The sequence below is a fragment of the Homo sapiens genome, chromosome 13 (assembly GCF_000001405.40).
Source record: "Homo sapiens chromosome 13, GRCh38.p14 Primary Assembly".
Classification (NCBI taxonomy): Eukaryota; Metazoa; Chordata; class Mammalia; order Primates; family Hominidae; genus Homo; species Homo sapiens.
In genome coordinates this window covers 31,943,703-31,960,872 of record NC_000013.11, presented here as the reverse complement: position 1 = coordinate 31,960,872, position 17,170 = coordinate 31,943,703, and the positions used below count along the sequence as shown (strand labels likewise).

General features: G+C 40.5%; 1 pseudogene across 1 annotated transcript in view, besides 3 other annotated features; it reads right to left on the bottom strand.

Annotated features, from left to right (window-relative positions):
• Positions 1-1,288: 1,288 nt before the first annotated feature.
• Positions 1,289-17,170, bottom strand: part of EEF1DP3 (eukaryotic translation elongation factor 1 delta pseudogene 3) — a 112,802-nt pseudogene continuing 96,920 nt past the window's right edge. The window contains exons 2-4 of the transcript NR_027062.1: positions 14,692-14,864; positions 4,402-4,544; positions 1,289-1,390 (exon numbers count right to left, since the gene is read on the bottom strand). The product of NR_027062.1 is annotated as a eukaryotic translation elongation factor 1 delta pseudogene 3 (transcript). The remainder of the gene's footprint in view (positions 1,391-4,401; positions 4,545-14,691; positions 14,865-17,170) is intronic.
• Positions 9,332-9,431: an enhancer, noted in NCBI's record as "active region_7552". NCBI's record gives its function as "activates an Ori minimal core promoter by ATAC-STARR-seq in GM12878 lymphoblastoid cells {active_cell/tissue: GM12878}" and the evidence as "EXISTENCE:reporter gene assay evidence [ECO:0000049][PMID:35858748]".
• Positions 14,494-14,993: an enhancer, noted in NCBI's record as "H3K4me1 hESC enhancer chr13:32520017-32520516 (GRCh37/hg19 assembly coordinates)". NCBI's record gives its function as "activates a minimal SCP1, AML or CMV promoter by ChIP-STARR-seq in naive H9 embryonic stem cells {active_cell/tissue: H9 hESC(naive)}" and the evidence as "EXISTENCE:reporter gene assay evidence [ECO:0000049][PMID:30033119]".
• Positions 14,994-15,495: an enhancer, noted in NCBI's record as "H3K4me1 hESC enhancer chr13:32519515-32520016 (GRCh37/hg19 assembly coordinates)". NCBI's record gives its function as "activates a minimal SCP1, AML or CMV promoter by ChIP-STARR-seq in naive H9 embryonic stem cells {active_cell/tissue: H9 hESC(naive)}" and the evidence as "EXISTENCE:reporter gene assay evidence [ECO:0000049][PMID:30033119]".

Here is a 17,170-nt window from a genome sequence, read left to right as displayed (position 1 = left end):
TCAAACTCTTGTGCTTAGGAGAAATTTGGCTTTGTATTTGTTTTTAAAATTTGCTTTATTAGAATCTTTTTTCCAAGGCAGTGATTATTTCTAACATCTCTCTTTAGAGGTGTAGTACTTACAGTTAGACACCTTTTTAAGCTGAGGACCACATAAAATAATAGGGTGACATCTTTTTCAGGGACTAAATTGAGCCCTGACAACCTACAAAAGGGGACCCACTTCCCACAAATGAGTAAAGTATTTTACCCATGACAGATGCAGGCCCCCAGCTGCTCCACAAGCATATTTAGGCCAAGTCTACTGTTTCCATTCACTGCCCCTTTAATTAGAGGTTTCTTAATTGATTTTTAAATAAGAATTTGGTTATTATCTGTGTGGGAAAAATGATGCACTTTATTGTTCAACTACTAAGATACATAGTAGTAATGCTGCTTTTGGTTACAATTTTTTTTAACATGAGAATGGAATAAACTTCAGAGAATATTTGGTAAAGGAGAACTTAAAGCTAAGAAGTTGCAATTTTTCACCCAGTTTCAAATTTGTTCTCTTAACTTTTAACAGATTGTTTTCCATACGCCTCAGTTTCCTCATTGTGAAATGGGAGTTGTAACAAATCTGTCTGTGAGGATGGTGACCATTTGGTAGACCCTTACCTTTCAAAAGGAATATTTCCTGAGACATATTCCTCAAAAAGGAATGTTTAGGATCCTGGTTTTCTCCTGGATCACATCTCTGAGGAGAATCACATTTCCTGTGTGTTTCCTTCAGCTAGAGCTATAATACCTTGAACTAAAATCTCCTCTTTTGCACCTAATGGCTATTTTCATCAAAGAAAGACTTTTTCTCTCTTAAGGATGGACTGCAAAATAAAACCAGTTGAGGTCTTGATGCTGTGCACTAGGCTAAGGCTCACCTGTGAGTAAGTGTCTCACCAAGTCTGACTGACGTGTATTTTTTAATTCACACACCAGCCCTGCCCACCAATATCTGGTGCACAGCAGAGGGCATGTGGGTATTTAATAAACACAGGTTGATGCATGGATTGCTGGCCTCTGGACCCACAGGAAGGTGTGGGTATCATTTTCTTCTCACTTTTCATGCATACAAAAATGACCCAGAGGTTCTTAAACTAGGTTTCTGTGATGATCTCATGAAGGATGATGCTATAGAACATTACGGGAATCAGAAGACCCTCCATGTCAACTGTCTTTGTAGGTCTACAGTTTTTCATCTGTAAAATGAGTGCACTGAATTTGATGTTCTCTATTTCTTTCAGATCCACAATTCATTGATTCTTTGATTCTCCACTGTGCTCACTGCCAAGTGAGTTATTTTCTTGTCTAAGTTCTTCAACAGCATAACCACCATGCACTTTTTGAAGCTTGATCTATAAACAAAAAATAGTAAATCCCCAAGAATCAATCTTGGCACATCTTATGTAAGATTAATAATTAGGAGGGAAAATAAGAAGGAAACTTTTGAGGAAATGCCATAGGCTTTCCAAGATGCCCTATCATTGATTAAAACAACAACAACAACAAACTGAAATAGCTCATTGATGTCCAGGCTTGGTAAGATCCAAGCTTGAAGAATCTATGTGACTTAAAAAAAAAACATGTAATTCTATAATTCTGATAATTAAAATATTTTAAAAGTGGAGTATACATCTCATCTAATCATATTCCTTAAAAGCTGACTACAGAAATGTTGCCACTGGGATGAAATTCATGGCATTTCAAATGTTATAACTTTTATATAAAGTCCTAAACGATACCATAGTTCTATTATGCAGCATTTAAATAGATGTTATGTGCCACTCCATTCAGCAATGAGTAACATGCAGCAATGTGGCACACTGAGGTTAGAATTGCAGAGTACAAGAGATTAGGGGTTCATAAACATTCCAGTTCGGGGTTGGGGCAAAATTCTAGTCAGCTGGTTAATGTGCATTTTGTGTACAACTTTTATGTATTTATCTATTTCATAGCATTTGTGAATCCCAAACTTCCACATTTAAAAGAAACAAAATCATAAATTGCTGCTTTGCTATAGCTCCTGAAAGAATGTAGTGAATTTTTGAGCAAATTTTTACCTACTTCTACACACCGTATTTTCACACATAATGAAAGTAACTCACAATGCTGGACTTCTATCTGAACATCAAAATGGCATATATTGGCATAATGTCTACCTCTGCTGCCCAACTACAACAGAGCTAGATCCTAACTTAATTTTAGAGCAATAACAGGTAGACTGCCCTAGGGAGGCCTTTCAAGGAGAAGTGCAACAGAAGGAGTAGCCAGCAACTCTTAAAAGCCTCAATCTCTCTCTCCCTGTCTCGTTCTCCACTTCTACCCCAGCCAACATCCCTATAAAACCTCCAAAGGCAGCAGTTGGTTAGAGATAAAAGAGTCTGTTGTTGTTTTGTGGGGAGAATGAAACAGAAACCTTCGATTCTTACTATCTCATTTCATTCAATCTTCTGTTAATTCATCATTATTTTCAATGTTTGGGAACTTTCAAAGAACATTTTATTTTATTTTACTTTATTCATTTATTTTTTGAAATGAAGTCTTGCTCTGTCACCCAGGCTGGAGTGCAGTGGCACAGTCTTGGCTCACTGCAACCTCTGCCTCGCGAGTTCAAGCAATTCTCCTGCCTCTGCCTCTCAAGTGGCTGGGGATTACAGGTGCCTGCCTCCATGCCCAGCTAATTTTTGTATTTTTAGTAGGGACAAGGTTTTGCCATGTTTGCCAGGCTGGTCTTGAACTCCTGACCTCAGGTGATCAGCCTACCTTGGCCTCCCAAAGTGCTGGGATTACATGTGTGAGCCACCGTGCCCATCCCAAAGAACCTTTTAAAGAAGGAACCCTTACTCATCAAATCGGCAGTGACTCACTCATACTTCCCTTCCTTTTAACCATCTAGGTGACATTTAAGGAACATCCTCATTTCCCACAGGCAAGCACCAAACCCAGTTTCTTATCTGCAGTTTATCAGTTATCTAGCCCTGTGTGTATCAATCAACTTTTCAAAATAAAAACTACTTTACACTTTACCTGCTGGAAGATATGTCTGTGGATATAGGTGCCACATTACTTTATTTCTGCTGTTTTTTTCTCCTCCTTCCTCTTCTTCCTTCTTTTCTTTTCTTTCTCTTTCTTTTCTTTCTCCTTCCTTCCTTCTCTCTCTCTCCCTTCCCCTTCCCCTTCCCCCTTCCCCCCTCTTCTCCTCCTCCTCCTCCTCCTTCTTCTTCTTCTTCTCTCTCTCTCTCTGCTAAGCATGTTATTTCTGGCATGGAGTTTTCTTTCTCTCCTTCCACCACCCCTATTTGTGCAGATTTTGAGTTTTCATTCTCAGTAGCCTCTTGAAGGAAATCATTCTTGCCCATTTCCCTTCCTCCCACACACCTGTTTGTGCATGTGGGAATGCCTGGTGTGGAAATCAGGAAGTGATATATTGCCAATAAAATGGCTTCTATCATTACTATAAATATTAACTTAAGCATAGTTAAACATACAGTTTTCAGTCACCTACTTTTTGTTGAAGAACTGAACAGCTTGAGTATATTTGAAACAGCAAATTTCTTTCTAATTTAGCAGAAAATAAGAAAAAATACAAGGCCATAACTTTGCAATGTTTATAGTTTTCCAAAACTGCCTTGCCTTTTGTTTAAATAACTATATAGTGATTCATGGCATCCTTATTATAAATAATCACATTTCGAGAATATTTCTTTTGAGAAGTTTCCAGATTGCTATTTGTTTCATATGGATGTGATTCAGTAACAAAAGAAAATATGTAGCTATAGTTTACCCTAATTCTGAGTAATGAAGTTTCTGTGCAGCACTCAGTATCACCGATGATATTCATTAACTCTTCTTCATTAAACATTTCTATATTTTATAATATCATCTGTATTGTTGAGAGCTTTTATTTTTAAAAACCTTGAAATGTTTCTCATTCATCCAACTTACTCTAATCAGCTGCCTCTAACAGGCACTGTTACCATTTTAAAAAATTCATTGTTGCATGTTCTCACTCACCTGTGGGAGCCCCCCCAAAATTTGAGCTAATGAAAGCAGAAAGTAGGATTGGGGGTATCAGAGGTTGGGAAGGGCAAGGGGGAGGGAAGGATGGGGACAGGTTGGTCTACAGATATAAAATTACAGCTAGATAGGAGAAATGAGTTCTGGTGTTCTGTAGCACTGTAGGGTGAATGTGGTTAATTATAACTTATTGTACATTCTCATAAAGCCAAAGCTGGGTGTGGTGGCTCAGGCCTGTAATCCCAGCACTTTGGGAGGCCAAGGCGGGTGGATCACCTGAGGTCAGGAGTTCGAGACCAGCCTGACCAATATGGTGAAACCCCATCTCTACCAAAAATACAAAAATTACCTGGGTGTGGTGGCGTGCACCTGTAATCCCAGCTACTTGGGAGGCAGAGGCAGGAGAATCACTTGAACCCAGAAGGCGGAGGTTGCAGTAAGCCCAGATCGCGTCATTGCACTCCAGCCTGAGTGATAAGAATGAAACTCCATCTCAAAAAAAAAAAAAAAAAAAAAAGCTAGAAGAGAGAATTCTAAATGTTTGCAACACAGAGAAATGATAAATGTTTGAGGTGATGGATATGCTAACTACCCTGATTTGATCAGTACTCATTGTATATATGTATGGAAATATTACTCTCTATCCCATAAATATGTACAATTATTATATGTCAACTAAAAATAAAAGGAAAAAAAAAAGATGGTTGAGAGGCACAGAGCGAGTCCTAATATTTTACCCTATGGTGTGAGCAGGATTTAGAACAAAGACCGTAATATGGGTGTGTTTGGACCTCTGCACTCTGCAGTTCTGGTTTTTACAGTTATGAGTGGGGACACAGAGGCACTTTGCATATGATGAAACTCAAATTACAGGTTCCTCTCTTGCCAGAGAATACACTAAACTTCGAGGGTGGTAGTGGTTGGGTGGGTACGTGGAAGGGGACTGGATTGCAAGGGGAAGCAACAGAGGTCTGCCAGGCATAGCTGCCTCCTGCTTCTTACACGTGAAACTTAGAATAGTTTACAAATAAACTTTGATCTTTGAAGATCTTTTCCACTTTCTTTAAGTCAGTAGTTCTTGACCAGGGGATGGGACAACATCAGATGAACCTGGGAAAATGTTCACACTGCAGTTAGATGCCTGGCCCAGTGTAGACTTGGTAAATCACATCTCTTGGCCAGTGCCTGTGGATTTTGGAAAACCTCCTCCAGAAATTCAGATTTGCACAATCGTTTGAAAACAACAGCCCTAAATTGGTAAGTTAATATTCCTTTTGTTATGCAGGGGCTCCAATGTACTCTCAAAAAACCAGAAACTGTTCCTGAGTTGGGACTTGAGGAGGGATATTTGACTTATGACCGTTTGCCACTTAGCTGTTTTTTAGAGTGTGGAGAACAGACATAAATTACAAAAAGCATACAAACCCCCAACTAAGAAACCCTGATGTGGAGGACACCTAAGGCCCCTGGTACTTTCCTGGAGGAAAATACATCGTTGCCAATTAGGGATTCTCTACCAGATGACATAGTGTCAGTATTGCCATTAGCTGGTGCAATAGGGAAGCTTAAATACTGATGTCAATGAAGCAGGAAAACCCAAATTAAAGCATTCTGCTCTCCTAGCAAAAAATTAGATAGGAAAGCAGATTACTGTGTATCAGTGTCTTAACAATTGTTGAGTCCTTGTACCGTGTTTTGCACCCAATACACATGCAACAACATAGTTTAGATTTTTGTTGAATAGATGTAGTCTTTCTTAGGTATACCTTTAATTTTCCTTCGGCATCTATTTTGATACTTAAAACCTAAAAATAGTGTATCTTGAAATTGCCTCTTTCTTGCTTATAAAAATCAGTTACTCTAAAGCTTTATTCAGTATTAATTATTCATTAAGATGACTTTAGTCTGTCTTAAGTGTCAAGGTGGGAGAGAAGTTATTTGATAGCTGAGAGAACACACCAATAAATCTAATCTAGTGACAAAAATACACATCTTCTTTGTTGTTCCTCCATCTATGTGCTTTGAACTCCCAGGATGTTCAAGGGTACATTGACAATCAGTTGTTTAACTCAAAAGAATGAACACCACTTAGGATGGAAATTCTAAACATTAAAATAATGACTGAAAAATACTTTGACCATTTTTTTTTTTTTTTTTTTTTTTGAGATGGAGTCTTGCTCTGTCACCCAGGCTGGAGTGCAGTGGGGCCATCTCGGCTCACTGAAACCTCCATCTCCTGAGTTTAAGCGATTCTCCTGCCTCAGCCTCCCAAGTAGCTGGGATTACAGGTCTGCATCACCATGCCCAGTTTGTTTGTTTTTGTTTTTTGAGACAGAGTTTCGCTCTTGTTGCTCAGGCTAGAGTGCAATGGCGTGATCTCAGCTCACTGCAACCTCCGCCTCCCGGGTTCAAGGGATTCTCCTGCCTGTCTCCCGAGTAGCTGGGATTACAGGCATGTGCCACCAAGCACGGCTAATTTTGTATTTTTAGTAGAGATGGGATTTCTTCATGTTGGTCAGGCTGGTCTCGAACTCCTGACCTCAGGTGATCTGCCCTCCTCAGCCTCCCAAAGAGCTGGGATTACAGGCGTGAGCCACTGAGCCCAGCTCTGACCATCTTGTAATGAGAGTTTTTACGTTCATGTCACCAAAAACTATCCATTTCATCCCATTTTTTAAACCTCTATTCCCAAATCTATATTCTTCCAGATTATAAAAAAAGATGGAGGTATAACAATTAAATACTTAAGCAAAGATTCCTTAGGTAGCTACTTTCCCCCAAATTATTTGAAACAAAGAACGTTGGGTATGGCCATTTCTTTTGTAACTGAGTAACTGGATGGCCACTATCCTCTCAAACACTTTTAAAAGCATTACTTAGACAGACAACTACAAGTGCTTAAAAAGTATTACTGGAGTATACTGAGTAAATATTAAATTACACAGATATAAAAATATTTTCATAGTCCAGATATGAATATATAATTAGAGCATTATTTAGGAATGTGAGAGAAAATTATGTGGAAGCTCTCAAATCTGTAACTACACATTAGCTATAGAGCAACAATTGAAAAGGAACTGCTTTTAGGCCACATCTCTTCAAGTCATTTCTCAATATACTTATAAGGCAAGTCTTGAATTCAGAACCCTGTTTTTTGATTCTTTTTTCATGACAAGGAGAAAAATCTAAAGTTGAGCTATAAATCTAACATTTTCTGCTCATACTGGGCTCACTATCAGTCCCTACATAAAGGTAAAAACAGTTTCCCCCTTGCTAATAAATCATGCACATAAATAATATAGTATTAGCATTCTAGTTTTCCTTAAAAGTAACCAGGTTACCACTAATAGCTTCATTAAGTTTGTTTTCGTCCCTTTTTTTTTTTTTTTTTTTTGCCGGTCTCAGTTTTTAATTGTGTCAGGGCCTCATGCACGCGGGCACACACACACACTCAGGCCAGATCTTGTTGAAAGCTGCGATGTCGACACTCTGCATACACTCTTCAAACTTGGTGATCTCCTCCTCCAGCAAGTCTGTCCCCACCTTGTCCTCCACCACACGCTGAATCTGCAGCTTCCAGATACCGTAGCCCACGGGCACCAGCTTGGAGGCCCCCCGCACCAGCCCGTCCGGCTGGATGAAGCGCACACAGGCCTCCAGGTGGGCCGTGTCCGTCTCATCGTCCCAAGGCTTGAAGTCCAGCAGGATGGAGGACTTGGCCACCAGCGCGGGCTTCTTGGCCTTCTTCTCCGCGTACTGCTGCAGCCGCTCCTCATTGGTAATGCCGCAGCTGTGTTGCCTCATTGTCGCTGCCAAACAGGTCAATGTCATCGTCCTCGTCATCCTCTGCTGGTGTGGCTAGCTTCTTGGCCGGGGGCTCCACTTGGCGCATGGGAGACATGTGCTGGGTCTGCGGGGCTGTGGCCCAGTGGCCGGGCAAGCTCTTCTCCAGCACGTTCAGCCAGGTCTCTCTGGTTGTCCACTTCCAGACTGGCGATCCGGACGACGAGCTCGCTGTGGTCTCCGCTGGGGCCGCTAGACGCCCCTGGGCCTAAGCTTCCGGCCAGGGATTTCGGGATGTTCTCTCTGGCTCTGGCAATATCATGGAGGATCATGCTGGCCTCCTGGAGGGAGGCGCCGGCCACAGGCCCGTTCATCTGTTCGTAGAATCTCCTTTCTGCATCGCCATATTTGAACTTGTGGAACCAGATCTTCTCACCTACTAGAAAGTTTGTAGCCATTTTTCTGACGCCAGCCAAGGACGCGGCAACCAGGGAGCAGGAATCGGGGGACGCAGGACGCCTAAGGAAAGGGTGTGTTTCCGTCCTTTTTTAGAAAACGAAGCAAAACAAAACCAAAAACTCCATCCTCAGTAAACTTGTCCAATAAATAAATAAATTTTATTTATTGTATTTATTTATTGTAAATAAATAAAAAGTAAACAGGCTATCTCAGTTTTTGTTAATCAGTATTTTTAAACAGGAAAGGCCATATATATCAAATTTTAAATAAAAATGTGTTGACACTCAAAGGTTTTAAAATTTAATCTCATTATTTAAGTAAATTACTTTCAAGTGGTGAGCTCATGTACAACATTATATATAAGCTTTTTTTTTTTTTTTTAAATCAGAAGTTCATTCCAAGATTTTGTTAAAGAAAAGTTGAAGGGCTAAATTTCCAAAAGCAAGGTTTTAAACAAACAAAATTAGGTGGAGACATTCAACACAGTAAAGCTACCAGTAAGTTTATTAAACACAGACATTGATGTTTCTAATATTGTACAATTTTCAGAGGCCTCACATGACAAAGCCCTTAAGTTTAATGATTCACTTTGAGAAAATACATCTATATTGACTACAAAGAAGGGTTTCTATGTCATCCTTTTTAATGAGAAAGTTAAAATTAATGGGTGTTTAGCAGTGTCTCAGTATATAGAATTTACATTAGCAGAGGGTCTGATTAGCAACTTTAGATAACTTTCCAACCAAGAAGAGTTGCAAAAGGGTTCCAATTGCATCTACCACTCACACATTCAAAGAAAAAGTACTAATTATGAAAAAAAAAACCTTTAATGCCATCAAGGAATAAGAATAGTACAGTCAACCTCATTTGTGTATCATTTTGTAGTTATGCATTATCTCATTTGGGTTTAAGACAGCTGGTGAAACTGGTGTTTGCATTCCCATTTCACAGATGAAGAAACAGGTTCTGAGAGAGCCAGTGGCTTGTCCCAGATTACATGTTTAGTAAGATGGGGGATCAGAACATGAAACCAATTGTGAAGCAGATACTGACTTTGTGAAATCCCTGGGCTGAAGTCCTCTCATGAGAGGAAGTGTTCAAACTCTTGTCTCTGAGGCTCCCTTGACTCTGGCCTTGAGCAAGGCCTGCCTGAGAAGCAGCTATTTAAGGAAGCTGCGTGACCAGATGGGCAGGGGTGTGGCCAGCTGAGTGGCTGTGACACACTTCTTGCACATCGTCTGTCTTCCACCTTGCCTGATGACTTCACCAGCTCTTAAGCACCTAACCCTGTGGTAAGTGTTGTGGGGAATACCACGGTGTAGGAAGACACTGTTCCTGTCCTCACAAACTGTAACCACTGAGCCCATTTGCAACCTAAGGCCACTGAATACAATCTCAGGAGGCACTCTCTTCATAGCACATGTTTATGGATGCCCTGACCATAAGTTCTGCATGTCTCCTGAAGGCCCCACTGAAACGTCATCAAACACACCTGTCTGCAGGCTTCCAGAATGACAGAATTCTAACAGAGAACATAACACTTAAGGAGACACGCCTAATCACAGAGTGCCTTCACTGTGCTGTGATGAGGAGGCTCTGAGGAGGGAACCCAGACCAGACCCCCATCTCTACAGTTCCTTGACAGAGGCTGTTTACCCGCAGGAAGGTCAGAAAGCATCTAGCCACCATTGTTCCTATGACTACCTTATGTTTCCAATAAAAACCTACATGCAGAAAGAAAACAAATACAGCAGTCTAACTTTAGAAATGCTCAAAATCCATTTAATTATAAAAATAAAATAATTTTAAGTAAGTTTTTTAGATTGTGGATTTGAGAAAAAAAAAACTTGTGTTTGGAATAGAACTTTGACTTAAAAACGAGAAGCAATGTTAGCCTACATGCTGGTGTTCCTGCTATGTGAGTCCTGGCCAGGGCTCTCTTTTCCTCTTGGTCGTGAACAGTCCTCATCACACTTGTCCTCTGACTAAGCAACAAGGAAGTACCTGGAGCTGCCTGTTTCCTCCAAGCAGATGGTTCCTTGCTTTTCACAACAGATAATTGTAAAATCAGCATGATAGTATAAGAACTAGCTGATTAAACATCCCAACTTGTTGGTTTAAGAGTGCTGAATGAACAACCCATCACACATGGTGCCTGAGCCCCCCTTTTTTCCAGGTGCAGGGTGAGATGTTCATTTTAATCTGATATGCCTGTGGGCATGATGTGTGTCAGGACCACTTCTCTCTCTCCCTTTTGCTTCCTTAAACCAAGCTAGGCCCACTGCTATGAACTCAGCTGCTGGAGTTCTTTCAGAAGGAACTAGAAAACAGGCTGCCTGTTTGCTACAGAGGCCTAGACTCTTAAGGCCTGGTCTCTTAGGACCCTCAGCCAAATAACTCACACTAACATTCTATTGTTGAGGCTTTTTTAACAGAAAACAAAATGTTAGTTTAATGTTTTTATATAAATATGACTTTAAAATATATTGGTTTCTTCTTTTAAGATTCGTTGCTGTGACCACGAGGGTCATTCATTCCTTTACTCTGGAGATATTTATTGAGGTGTGCAATACGCAAGGTACTCTGCTGGGAAAATTCTTTCCCATCAGCCTAAACCAGAAACTGTCTGGTTTTCTGCTTTCTTTCCAAGGCCTAGAATGGTTCCCGGCATATAGTAGAATCCTAATAATGAATGAATGACACACTAAGATAAGCCATACCTGCATTTTCCCCCAGCTAGGAGTTCAGATTGTTATAAAAATCAGTATAAAGACCTTTCCCTTTGGCAATCTCTATCTACCAACTAATTCTTTCTTGGAGCCAGAATCAGATAGGCTCCACAGAGTTGACACAGCTTCATAGCAAATCAGTTAATTAACCACTAGATGTTGATGGGATACCTACTTTGCGCAATTTCCCCCCTCCTAGACAAATGAGCCACGCAAGGAAGCAACTGAGATAGTCTCTGCTTTTCAGAGAGTTTTCATACAAACATAAAGTTACTATAATGCATCCCTGAGGTCAAGGAGGTGGCATCAAGGAAAACTAAAGGAGGTCAGAGGAAGAAGATAGAAGCCTAGGATTTGGCCTTTAACCAGCGGAAGAATGGAAGAAAAGGCATAACAGAAATGCAGGGTGTGTGTGTGGTATGTGTGTCTGTATGTTGGGAGGTGAGGGAGAATGCCACAGACAGAGTCTGGGAGAAGCCAGAGCACACAAGGTATACCAGGAGTTAATTCCATTCAGTGTGATTTGAGTCAATTGAATAAATATTTATTGAATGCACACTGTGTGCCTGGCATTGTGATAGGTACTAGGTATACAATGGTTAACAAGACTGATATCATTCCTGGGTCACTGGCAAGTGGGAGATACGGAGAAGTAAACAGACAATGACAATATAGTGTGATAAGTGCTATGATAGGGAAAAGTCCAGGTGTTATGAGAAGGATGCAGAAAGGACCCAACCCAAACACTGGCATCAAGAAAACTTCCTGGAAGAGGGGATGTCAAGTTGACCCCCAAAGCCAAGGTAGAAACTGGTTGGGTGAAACTGTGCAGGTAGAGTATACAGTACTTACACTAGAATTGCAAATGTGAAGGACCATGAGGATCTGAAAGTGGCTGAATTTGTTGAAACACAAGGGGAAGGAGGGCTGGAAAAGAGGCTGGGGATGGAAGCAGTGGCCAGAATTTGCATCTCTTGTACTTCATATTAAAGAGTTTGGACTTCATCCTAACAGCAGTGGTAACCTTGAGGAATTTTACGCAAGAGAATGAAACAAGTGGATGTGCATTTTAGGTAACTATCTGCAGTGTGAGATGGCCCTAAAGGAGCAATGGGTAAAAAAAAAAAAAGGGTAATATGCAGTTAGATCCTTGAAGTTTTATCCTTAACACAATGTAAGAACAAAATGATTATTTTGTGAATGAAGTGATCAGTGAATCAATCAATAATTTGGTGCAGGATTGAAAATACAAGACTTCAGGCAGAGGATAAAGTTGTCTGTATGTATATAAGGGTCAGAGTGAAAGCTGATTGGAACACTGACATGTCTTCAAGTCTTGAATCTCATCAGACAAATGATAACAGTTGACAATGGAGTAAAGTGGAACAGAGTAGAAACAGCTTCAGTGTTGGAGTCAAAAGACCAAGGTCTGAATCTTAGTTTTGATGTTTATTAATTTTGAGATGTGCCTTAATTTCTCTGACCATTGGGTTCCACATCTATTATGCCTATTCTTTACGTGCCACTGCGTAGCTAGAATGGGAATGGTTATCACAATCTGTGTGCATTTCTGTTTTCAGGTGGTACGCAGGCACTGTGGGAAAACTGATGGCCCAGTGGAGTTTCTAAATCATCCACTGTAAAAATCAGTCAGTTAGTGAAACCTGCCTGACTGAGGGTGGAGTCGTGGTTTACATAGCGGGGATTTAGAAATCAAGTAGCCAGTAAGTATTGCACGAAGTTTGGGCAGGTGACTCTGTAACTTGTCCACTGGAGACCCTAGTGGAGAGGTTGGGAGAGGGGTGGGAAACGCCCCTCTTCTGCTGCTGCCCCTAAGGAGAGTACTGGGCACAGAAAGAGCAGAAACAGGTGGTATAGTTGAGGGGTCACAGGGGTCAGTGAGGTAGCTTGGAGAACATACACAGGTAGTTAAGGACATAGTCTAGACTGGAACTCACCTCCCTGAAGTTGAGTGCTCTTTTCACAACTCCACCTTGTCAAATTAATTATGTCAACTCAAGATCTTAGAAAGGACAACTTATGTAAGATTCAAGCCAAGAGGCCTTCTCATAAGTTTGTGGCTGTAGCTACCAGCCAGGGCCAGATGACCTTATAGAACGAGAGGGCAAAGCAGGAATGCTGGCTGCAGGAGTGAGGCATTCCCCTGGATCCAGTTGTTTGGAAAGAAGAAGGCCATGAAGTATGGGGGTGGGGCTATGTCGGTGGTGGCAGAGAAGTGCAGGATGAATTATAAGGTACCTGAATCCAGACATAATTAACCAAAGAATAATGTTAAGAGAAGAAAAAGCAAAAGGTGAAGAACTGCTCTGCAAGAAGGTTCTGGAAGAAGGGCTAGTGAACCAATTCATCAGAAAGTACATCATACCATGTAGTTTTAGGAAACACAGCAGGCCTGAGCTCCTTGGTACCCTTAGGAGATCCAAGCGAACAGGCAGAAAGTGACTGTGCTCTGTGAAATACTTCAGGCACCCAAATGCTCCTCTTTCCAGCACTTTTCATACCATCCCCCTCTCCTTCCCCCTAACACACTCACACACTGACACCTTCTGGCCCACTCCAGGCTGAGTTTTGCTTCTTTTCTGCAGAAGAGTGTGACACTAGGGCAATATCACTGAACTGAAGAAATTTATTAAAATAGCTTCCTTAAGAAATGTAATTTTGAGTCCCACATCTCTAAATCATCTTTATCTTCTCGCTTTCCAAAAGCAGTATAAAGAGTCAGCTGTTTTGGGTAGTCCATATAATTTTTATGAAGTAAAACTCGACTAAATTATTTTTTGGCTTCCTACATTCATAGAGTTAGCCCTAAGTGTTGGGTTAACTCTATGAATACAGAAAACCAAAAAATAATTTAGTCTCATCTGTCCCCCATAAAGAAGGCTCCAATAAATCGATCAGCCATAACAAAAAGGCCACTTTCAGTTTTTCCTGGAAATCCCAAAGCAAATAGTATTGAAACCAAATTGGCTATATAATTCATATAATTTATACTCTCCAGTGATCACTTAGCTCAATTAAGGTTCGCAGTCACAGGTATCTCTGACAATCTACGTATCTATAATATGCACACATAAACATCTGGGGCAGACATCAGAGTCCCTTTATCAAGACTGAAATCCATGTCTCCTGTGCTCTAATATATTTCACCATCCACACTGTTCAGTTGAGCTTTTTACTACAAATGGTTTTAGGCTCTGATGCAAGACAGGAATTTGAAGCATGCATTGGAGTGTTTAATGGTGTTAATTTTTGGTGCACACAAACATCAACTTCACTCAACAATCCAATAATATTGCAAAAAAAAAAAATGCCAGAGAATGAAATACATCAATGGAATTCTTCAGGATTGCAAGCAAAGTAGTTCCACATTCCTGCTGATGCCAACAAATAATAAAATAGCTGCCTATTTACAGGTCCTTAAAGATGTTACAATCAATAAAGAAAATAAAACGAAGAAGATAGTGTGCTTTCAGATCAAACAATTATTCTTTTATATTCAGACATGTTTATTTACTTAAAGTCTTCGAATGTAACCCAAGTTAATTTTAAATGAACATCTGATTGTAACAAGGGAAATATAATCTGTGTGTGTGTGTGTGTGTTTGGTTTTGTTTCAATTGGATGGTATAAATGTAAACAATTCCTACCTGGAAATATGGATGGTCTCTTCTTCGGGTGCCTCAGGTGAATGGGATCCAAGTTCTTAATGTTTCTTTGAAGTCTTCCTCTAATGTCATTTCCTATGAGTAGTTCAGGTGGCAGGCTACTCCTTCTTGATGATTTATAATCATTTTGAGATGAATTTAGTTTGTTCTTCGTTCTGGAATATAAATTGCTGTCATCAACTGCCATTGTGGGGGATACATTAGCGACTCTGAACAAAAATCCAGAAAGCCAAACCCAGCGGCAGCCACCGTCACAGCCACCGTTGCAGCCACCGCCGCCGCCCCAGACTCTGATGTTCTCATGCTTTACCCTGCACTTGTTTGGGAAGCTTAACAAGTTGATAGGCGTGGACTTTAACAGGTGTAGAATTACTAAGTAGCCCCTCCTTTCTACAGTTAATAGCACAGGGGAGGAGAGATAAAAAAAAAAAACCATCAGTTGGCAGAAGACTGGGGAATTTGAACAGATGTGACTCAGAGTGGATGGTAACAAAAGTGGTGTAATGGTTGCTGCATGAAATTTCAGCTTCATGGGTGCAACACCATAAAGCAAACACAGTTCACTATTCAAGAATAGATGCCTACGTAAATTACAAGTCTAATTTTTTGTATAATTTCCCAAACTCTTACGGATTTTAAACAGTTTTGGGGAAGCATTTTTACATTCCCTCATACCTTTAAGTTTCAAGCTATACACATAACACAGAACGAACATCCTTCTTTAGTCAGTGTCTTATTTGGCTGGCCGCCAACTGGAAGTTGGCTGGAAGAGGGAGATGAGAGATGACTGGTGATGACCAGGAAGGAACTGGTTGTGGGCGTGTGTCAGGCAGCAGTGCTGGGAACCCGCTGTTGCTTGCCACCCACCCCTTCCATCCTGTGCTCCAGCTGGCAGATAGCTTCTCCAGAAGTTCCTACTGCCTGGCAGTGGAGTCAGAGGTCTAGAAAACAAGCCTTAGCCATAGAAGTAATGACAGGCCTCCACTCACAAATAAAAAGTCAACGTTATTATCCTTGCGGGGATTCTGCCTAGCTTTAAACTAAAATGGTCAATGGGTTTGGTGGTCTAAGAAAAACCAGCATTTCTTCACTCAAGATTCCTGCTTGTCCTATCATCCAGCTTCTTTCTCTCTCTCTCTCTCTCCTGGATTTTGCATTTTTATGTCCTTTGCTCCCTTCCCTCTTGCTCTATGTATGTGGAAATGTTCTGCACTTTCTTCCTTAACTGACTGTGCAGAAATCATCACTCTATAATTCATCTTCCCCAGCCATGCTGTGCTCCAGCTGGCAGATAGCTTCTATGGCCATGCTATGCCCATGTCCATCAGCAATCTCTCTCTGTCACATACACACAACACCCCTTTTGTGTTCTGTCTGGTTGCAATGTGAGATGAGATTTGCCTTTTCCCTTCCCAGTGCCTGGAATCAATAGATACATAACATTATAAGGGATTTAGGGGTCATTTCAGAAATCACTGTTTATTTTGGTTTCCTAGATGCTAAATACGTTTTAATATTTGTTGATATTTAGGAGCTGGTTCTGTTTACCAACTTGAGAATATACTTCCACACTAATACAAGTTTTGTTCTCTTTATGCCCTTTCAGCAACAGGTCTCCAAACCACAACAGATTTTCTGGAGAGAAAAGCATTTTTCCTTACAAGTATGCCCAATTGAGAGTTACCATTATAATCTAGCAATCATAACTATAATTATAATCCAGCAATCATATTTATGTATTAGATTATTAAGTTATTTCACCAGTTCTGAGAATCATCTGCACCACTTCCCTCCCAGGACCTAGAATAACTTTGTCAAGCTGAAATGTACCATGAACTTCAAAACAATGAGTGACTTGTATGAAACCATTTCTAAAAGCCCATGAGACTGCCTGAATCTCCCTCACCCTAATGATAATACATTTTTTCTAGTAAGGAAATATAAAGTAAAAGCATTTTTTAAAGTTTGAGATAATGATATAATAGGAGGAAAAAACATACATTCCTACAACCCAAACTTCAAGAACAGTGTTTAATTTTCAAATATAAAGCAAGATAGAATCCTAGGCACAAAAGATTGGGTGCTAACTGGGAGAAATTCATCAATCAGGAAAGCAGAAGCTCAAACTATTTGGTGAGTGTGTCTTTCTCAATCACACTGTTACCATGGGGCCAACATAAGAGCATGTATGAGATTAAATAGAAGTCTCTAAGGAAAGGTGTTATTATCACACAGAGTGTACACCAGGTATGTCTGCATAGTGTGCCTTTGTCTTTAAGAGTCCCGCTGAAAACACAGAATGAAGTACATATGCACCTGGAATGCATTATAATAATAGCCATCATTTACTGCGTGCTTAAAACTGGCCAGATTCTGTGCTAAGCCTTTGGCATGCATTACCTCATTGATTCCTCCTAATCACCCTGTTTATAGATGAAGATGCTGAGACAGAGTAAAACAC